Source organism: Homo sapiens, chromosome 19, assembly GCF_000001405.40.
Source record: "Homo sapiens chromosome 19, GRCh38.p14 Primary Assembly".
NCBI classification, from domain to species: Eukaryota; Metazoa; Chordata; class Mammalia; order Primates; family Hominidae; genus Homo; species Homo sapiens.
Window position 1 is genome coordinate 23,718,175 of NC_000019.10, and position 8,180 is coordinate 23,726,354.

The window sequence follows — 8,180 nt, forward strand, 5'->3', positions numbered from 1 at the left end:
CTCTGAAAATTAAAAATGCTTAAGAAACATTTTTATAGAAACTAAATCTAAAATAATTTTAGATTCTTAGAGAACATTTCTCAAATACTTCAAGTTCTCCTGTTCTGACAGTAGCTATATATTTTTCCATATTGCTATAATAGAGCTTTGGCTGTTCTTTGTGGCTAAATCCACCATTTCTATTCTATTTTGTTGTGTAGTATTTACGTTATGCATTTTACATTTTAAAAGTTGTAGTCCATGCAATGCAATTTTAAACAATTGACAAACATTTTTTCATGTAAAATTCTGTGCTTATTCAGCAGTCACTTTATTTTCACTCTTCAAAGGCATTCTAACTGCCTGAAAAGCAAAGTGACAGTTCAAGTGAGTGTGCTGAGCTGGAATGTTGCAGGAAGTCAGGGACCCCAAACGGAGGGACCAGCTGAAGCCATGGAAGAAGAACGTGGATTGTGAAGATTTCATGGACATTTATTAGTTCCCCAAATTAATACTTTTATAATTTCTTATGCCTGTCTTTACTGCAATCTCTAAACATAAATTGTGAAGATTTCATGGACACTTATCACTTCCCCAATCAATACCCTTGTGATTTCCTATGCCTGTCTTTACTTTAATCTCTTAATCCTGTCATCTCCTAAACCAAGGCGGATGTATGTCGCCTCAGGACCCTGTGATAATTGCATTAACTGAACAAACTGTAGAGTATGTGTGTTTGAACAATATGAAATCTGGGCACACACCTTGAAAAAAGAACAAGATAACAGCAATGTTTAGGAAACAAGAGACATAACTTTAAACTCTGACAGCCCCAGTGAGCCGGGCGGAACAGAGCCGTAGGAGCCGGGTGGAACAGAGCCGTAGTTCTCTTCTTTCAAAAGCAAATGGGAGAAACATCGCTGAATTCTTTTTCTCAGCAAGGAACATCCCTGGGAAAGGGAATACACGCCTGGGGGTGGGTCTCTGAACTGGCCCCCTTGGCGTGGCCGTCTTCTATGGTCGAGGCTGTAGGGGTGAAATAGACCCCAGTCTCCCATAGCACTCCCAGGCTTATTAGGAAGAGGAAATTCCTGCCTAATAAATTTTGGTCAGACCGGTTGCTCTCAAAACCCTGTCTCCTGATAAGATGTTATCAATGACAATGGTGCCCAAAACTTCATTAGCAATTTTAATTTCGCCTCGGTCCTGTGGTCCTGTGATCTCTCCCTGTCTCCATTTGCCTTGTGATATTCTATTACCTTCGGAAGTACTTGATGTCTGTGACCCACACCTATTCGCACACTCCCTCCCCTTTTGAAAGTCCCTAATAGAAACTTGCTGGTTTTGCGGCTTGTGGGGCATCACGGAACCTACCGACCTGTGATGTCTCCCCCGGATGCCCAGCTTTAAAATTTCTCTCTTTTGTACTCTGTCCCTTTATTTCTCAAGCCGGCTGTCGCTTAGGGAAAATTGAAACGAACCTACGTGACTATCGGGGCAGGTTCCCCGATACTGGAACTCTCCAGTGTCAGTCTATTCACATTCATACAGGTGATCTTCTGGTGAGAGTGGACTTCGACAGCAATATCACAGCAATGTGGAACAGATGTAATAAAATAAAAGATGAAACACTGCTTTTCAGGAAAATGAGCTAATCTTTCTTACTCTGTGTATGTGATTATGTGATGGTTGTAAGTTTTAAAATAAAGACTAGGCCAGGCGCAGTGGCTCACACCTGTAATCCCAACACTTTGGGAGGCTGCGGTGGGCAGATCACGAGGTCAGGTGTTCGAGACCAGCCTGGCCAACATGGCGAAACCCCATCTCTATTAAAAATACAAAAAAAAATTAGGTCATCGTGGTGGGCGCCTGTAGTCCCAGCTACTTGGGAGGCTGAGGCAGGATAATCGCTTGAACTGGAGAGGTGGAGGTTCTCTCTGTCACCCAGGGTGTAGTGCAGTGGCATAATCTCAACTCTGGGGTTCAAGCCTTCGTCTCCCAGGTTCAAGCGATTCTCTTCCCTCAGTCTCCCATGTAGCTGGAACTATAGGCACGTGCCACTATGCCTGGCTAATTTTTGTATTTTCAGTAGAGACAGGGTTTCACCATGTTGGCCAGGCTAGCTTCAAACTCCTGACCTCAGGTTATCCACCTACCCACTTTGGCCTCCCAAAATACTAGCATTACAGGCGTGAGACACCATGCCTGGCCATTGCGTGCTTTTTTTTTTTTTTTTTTTGAAATGTAGTCTTGCTCTGTCACCCAGGCTGGAGTGCAATGGCACAATCTCGGCTCAGTGCAACCTCCACCTCCCAGGTTCAAGCAATTCTCCTGCCTCAGCCTCTCAAGTAGCTGGGATTACAGGTGCCCGCCACCATGCCTGGCTAATTATTGTATTTTTTAGTAAAGATGGCTTTCACCACGTTGGTCAGGCTGGTCTCGAACTCCTGACCTCAGGAGATCCACCCGCCTCAGCCTCCCAAAGTGCTAGGATTACATGCGTGAGCCACTGTGCCCGGCCTAACATCCCTCTTTTTAAACAACCAGTTATTCTCTTTAGAACAAAAATTTACCATACAAGATCCTTTCTTATATACAAGCTGTTTGTCTATGTAATCTTTTTTGCATAGCTAGGGTGTGACATATTACCAAACCCAATATGAAGTCTTAGCAGACTCAGTGATTATAGACTATCATCCCTGCTATAAAGATAATAATTAAGCAATATACTACAGCAATTGAGATTCTTTGTTTGATACTCCACTCTGGGGGGTGCTACAGTATATAATCCCACTGCAAAAAGTAAAGTGAGTATAACAATTCCCTGCCCAGGGCAGTGGTTCACGCCTGTAATCCCAGCACTTTGGGAGGCCGAGGCAGGCAAATCACCTGAGGTCAGGAGTTCGAGACCAGTCTGACCAACATGGAGAAACCTCGTCTCTACTAAAAATACAAAATTAGCTAGGCATGGTGGCGCATGCCTGTAATCCCAGCTACGCGGGAGGCAAAAGCAAGAGAATTGCTTGAACCTGGGAGGCAGAGTTTGCAGTGAGCTGAGATCGTGCCATTGCACTCCAGCCTGAGCAACAAGAGGGAAACTCCATCTCAAAAAACAAAAACAAAAACAAAAACAAAAAAAAGACAATTCGCACAAGGGTGGTGTAGTAGATAATTTCTATCTAAAATTTTATTCACCAATTTATAGAATTTCCCTTTTGGGGTCTATGAAGTTACAAATGTAATCCCATAAATAATCAAAATTTCCCTGCAAATATGCACCAAAAAGAAGTTATAATAGTTGATGGCAAATCTTGAGAGGAAAGGTAGGAATGACTGAAAGTATTTGGTAAGGTAAGAATGGGACTGAGTAGAAGGAGTAGGCCTCACTTATGTACTCATCTTTTATAATTTTTATATTTCTTCACATTAATATCTGGGACTTTCCTCTAGGCTGTTCAGGGTTGCTCCCTCAGCTTTCCAGGTTTAACTGAGTATGATGTATCCAAGAGTCAATTCCTGTAACTTTCATTGCAAACAGGGTTCAAAGAAGAACAGTGAAAGGTCCTTCCCAGTTTGCGCTTAGGGAGGGAGAGAGAGAGAGGGGAGAGCTTTCACCAATATCAAATCTGGGCTAAATGAAGGTGTTCTTATTTTCTGGGGTTGAGACTCTGCTAAATGTGTTAATTCCTGCTGAAAGTGAGCAAGAGAGGTTACATGCTTAACCAATTCAGAGGTTTCCTGGTCTAATAGAAACCATTGTAAGAAAAGGCCATTCATACAGCATCTTGAAAGGGCTCAGACCTAACTTTGAAGGGGTATTTCTTACTTGCAGTAAAGCCATGGAAAGAAAAGTAACCCAAGAAAGGTGAGTTTTTTGGGGACAGTTTTTTTTTTTTTTTTTTTTGAGACAGAGTTTCACTCTTGTTGCCCAGGCTGGAGTGCCATGGCATGATCTCGGCTCACTGCAACCTCCCTCTGCCTCCTGGGTTCAAGCGATTCTCTTGCCTCAGCCTCCCGAGTAGCTGGGATTGCAGGAATGTGCCACCACACCTGGCTAATTTTGTATTTTTAGTAGAGACAGGGTTTCTCCATGTTGGTCAGGCTGGTCTCGAACTCCCGACCTCAGGCGATCTGCCTGCCTTGGCATCCCAATGTGTTGGGATTATAGGCGTGAGCCACTGCGCCCTGCCTGAGACTGGGCTATCTCTCAAGGTTATGCTTTCCAGCCCTCAGGATGGCCACAGTCAGATAGGTATTAGGCCCATCCGGCCTAATACATGTTTTAACATAGAAATATCTTCCCATAATATACAAGTTTTTCAAAGAATAGATGAATGTATTTAAATTAACTTTTTAAAATGTAGCATAGATTCACAATGGAATACTATTCAGCCTTTAAAGACAAGATGTCTTTTAACAATATTATTTGTCTTCTCTACCTTTCCTGAGTACTGGGATCTTTAAGCACAATGGAGATAATACTATATTCCTAGTGCTTTTGAGACCCACTGTGTGATGGCTGCCTTAAATGAGGTGCCATTGTCACTTTGGAGGTACTTAGGTAGACAAAAGTCGGTAGTAATTTCATTAATTAACACTTTTATTACCGCAGAGGTCTTTTCTGTATGGCATGGAAATGCTTCTACCCAATTTGTGAAAGTATTAATTCCAGGAGGTATTGCATGCCCTCTGTCTTTGGCATGTGGGTAAAGTCTATCTGTCAGTCTTTTCCTGGTTAGCTTCCCATCCTTTGGATTTGAGAAGAAAGAAGTGGCCTGTTGAGATTATCTTTAAGACAGACTTTGCAAGCATTAACCTGTTTGACTGTTTTTAATAGACTCTTTCCTGGCCGGGAGCAGTGGGTCTTGCCTGTAATCCCAGCACTTTGGGAGGCCAAGGCAGGCTGATCACGAGGTCAGGCATTCGAGCCCAGCCTCGCCAACATGGCAAAACCCCGTCTCTACTAAAAATACAAAACAAAAACAAAAACAACAAAAACCAAAAAACTAGCCAGGTGTGGTGGCGGGCGCCTGTAGTCCCAGCTACTTGGGAGGCTGAGGCAGGAGAATCGCTTGAACCTGGGAGGCGGAGGTTGCAGTGAGCCGAGATAGTGCCACTGCACTCCAGCCTGGGCGACAGAGTGAGACTTCATCTCAAAAAAAAAAAAAAAAAGGTATTTCCTGAAAACAATCTCTGAGGACACTGACAAATTTTATTCTTTCCCAAGTAAAATGTTTGATGGATTTTAAAGACTTTTCCATTGGCTGGAGGCTGGCAAGTGGAATTTGCCATTCTCTGACTGTGGCCATCCTGAGGGCTGGAAAGTGTACCCTTGAGAGATGGTCCATTTTATCTTTTCAGGACTACTAAAGCTTAATTTCTTTTATGGAGCCTTCATAGATTAGAGGGGTTTCAAGTGTGTTGATGCCTGGAGGCTTCATTGTAACTGACTAGGCTGCCTGATTAGCTAACTTGTTTCTTTCCACTATTTTATCTGTTCCCTCTGAAGGGGTGGGTTGCCCCTCCACACCTGTGGGTGTTACTTGGAAAAGAAAGAGACACAGAGACAAAGTATAGAGAAAAAAAAGGGGGCCCAGGGGACCAGCGTTCAGCATACAGAGGATCCACGCCGGCACTGGCCTCTGAGTTCCCTTAGCATTTATTGATCATTATTGGGCATTTCCCAGAGAGGGGCATGTGGCAGGATAATAGGGTAATAGTGGAGAGAAGGTCAGAAGGTAAACACGTGAACAAATGTCTCTGCATCATAAACAAGGTAAAGAAAAAAGTGCTGTGCTTGTGATGTGCATATACATAAACATCTCAATGCCTTAAAGAGCAGTATTGCTGCCAGCATGTCCCACCTCCAGCCCTAAGGCGGTTTTCCCCTATCTCAGTAGATGGAATATACAATCGGCTTTACACCGAGACATTCCATTGCCCAGGAACGAGCAGGAGACAGAAGCCTTCCTCTTATCTCAACTGCAAAGAGGCGTTCCTTCCTCTTTTACTAATCCTCCTCAGCACAGACCCTTTACGGGTGTCGGGCTGGGGGACGGTCAGGTCTTTCCCTTCCCACGAGGCCATATTTCAGACTGTCACATGGGGAGAAACCTTGGACAATACCTGGCTTTCCTAGGCAGAAGTCCCTGCAGCCTTCCGCAGTGTTTTGTGTCTCTGGGTACTTAGGGAGTGGTTGAGATTAGGGAGTGGTGATGACTCTTAACAAGCATGCTGCCTTCAAGCATTTGTTTAACGAAACACAACCTGCACAGCCCTTAATCCATTTAACCCTGAGTTGACACAGCACATGTTTCAGGGAGCACAGGGTTGGGGGTAGGGTTACAGATTAACAGCATATCAAGGCAGAAGAATTTTTCTTAGTTACAGAACAAAATGGAGTCTTAGCCTATGTCTACTTCTTTCTACACAGACACAGTAACAATCTGATCTCTCCTTCTTTTCCCCACACCTTCTGATGTCTCTTACATTGCTATTTCTTATGGAAGAAAAACTGAGAAAAATAACCTGTTAATTTTATGATTGTCTCCATTTTCCATTGGCTTTTTGCACTCCTAATATTGGAGTGGTGCAGGGGCTGTTACAGGGTTTGAGGAGGCCCTGCATTTTCAGATTAATAATGGCTTCTAGTCCTTTCCTAGCCTCTGGCTTTAGCGGATATTGTTGCTGGTTAGGAAAAAAGGTGGGATCCTTAAGATGGGTCTGGACTGGCCTAGTAGTTATAGTTTGGCATATTTTTCCTTGAAGTGCCCATACTTTTGGATTAACATTAGCTTCCACCAGGGAAAGACAAAGAGTTTGTTCCAGGGCTTATTATAAAGATGCTGACCCCATGTTAACTAAAATTTCTCTACCTAAAGAGTGGGACTTTCTGGAATGATTAACACACTTGAATAAACCTTTCGGTTTTTGTTTTGTTTTGTTTTGTTTTTTCTGAGACTGTCTTGCTCTGTCACCCAGGCTGGAGTGCAGTGGCATGATCTTGGCTCACTGCAACCTCCATCTCCTGGGTTAAAGCGATTCTACTCCCTCAGCCTCTTAAGTAGCTGAGATTACAGGCACCCATTACCATGCCCACCTAATTTTTGTATTTTCAGTAGAGACAGGGTTTCACTATGTTGGCTAGGCTGGTCTTGAACTTGCGACCTCAGTTGATCTCCCCACCTCAGCCTCCCAAAGTTCTGGGATTACAGGCATAAAACACCATGCCCGGATAGAATAAAATTTTAAAATAGTCTTTTTGTTGCTGTTGTTATCTAAGTAAACAAAGATATCACCTGCAAATCATAATTAGCTACTTTATAATTGTACTTATTACAAATATTAACTAACTTATCTTTTTTCGGCTTAAATTTTTTATGTACCATTTTATACATTCACACACATATAAAAGTGAAAACATATTCAATATTCAATTTTTTGTTAATCTTTAGTAAAAATGAGTGTTAAAAATATTTTTTTTTTGAAGGATTTTTATTGTTGTACTCAAGAATGTTATCTCTGGAGGCAACATTGCCTGTATTTTAATATTAACTCTGCTATTGTGAGCAAGTAATTTCTCTCTGTGCCTCTATTTCTTCCTCTGTAAAATGAGAATAATAATACCTATGTTATTAAGTTACTGTGAGAATTAAATTCATTCACATATAGTGTTATAGTTAGTGCTCAGTAAAGATTAGTTATTAATAAAATATGTACATGCTGAATTAAATTAAGACTTCCTTTTTTGAGATGGAGTTTCACTCTTTTTGCCCAGGCAAATGGAGTGCAATGGCACAATCTCAGCACACTGCAACCTCCGCCTCTGGAGTCAACCGATTCTACTGCCTCATCCTCCTGAGTAGCTGGGATTACAGGTGCCCACCACCATGCCCGGCTAATTTTGTATTTTTAGTAAAGACAGAGCTTTACCATGTTGGCCAGGCTGGTCTCGAACTCCTGACCTCAGGTGATCTGCCTGCCTTGGCCTCCCAAAGTGCTGGATTTACAGGTGTGAGCCACTGCGCCTGGCCTAATACATGTTTTAACAAAGAAATATCTTCCCATAACACACGAGTTTTTCAAAGAGTAGATGAATATATTTAAATTAACTTTTTAAAATGTAGCATAGATTCACAATGGAATGCTATTCAGCTTTTAAAAAGGGTAAATTCCAACATTTAGACAAATAAAGACAAATA

At 42.4% G+C, this 8,180-nt stretch overlaps 1 annotated feature.

Annotated features, from left to right (window-relative positions):
- Positions 5,390–6,304: an enhancer, noted in NCBI's record as "NANOG-H3K27ac-H3K4me1 hESC enhancer chr19:23906366-23907280 (GRCh37/hg19 assembly coordinates)". NCBI's record gives its function as "activates a minimal SCP1, AML or CMV promoter by ChIP-STARR-seq in naive H9 embryonic stem cells {active_cell/tissue: H9 hESC(naive)}" and the evidence as "EXISTENCE:reporter gene assay evidence [ECO:0000049][PMID:30033119]".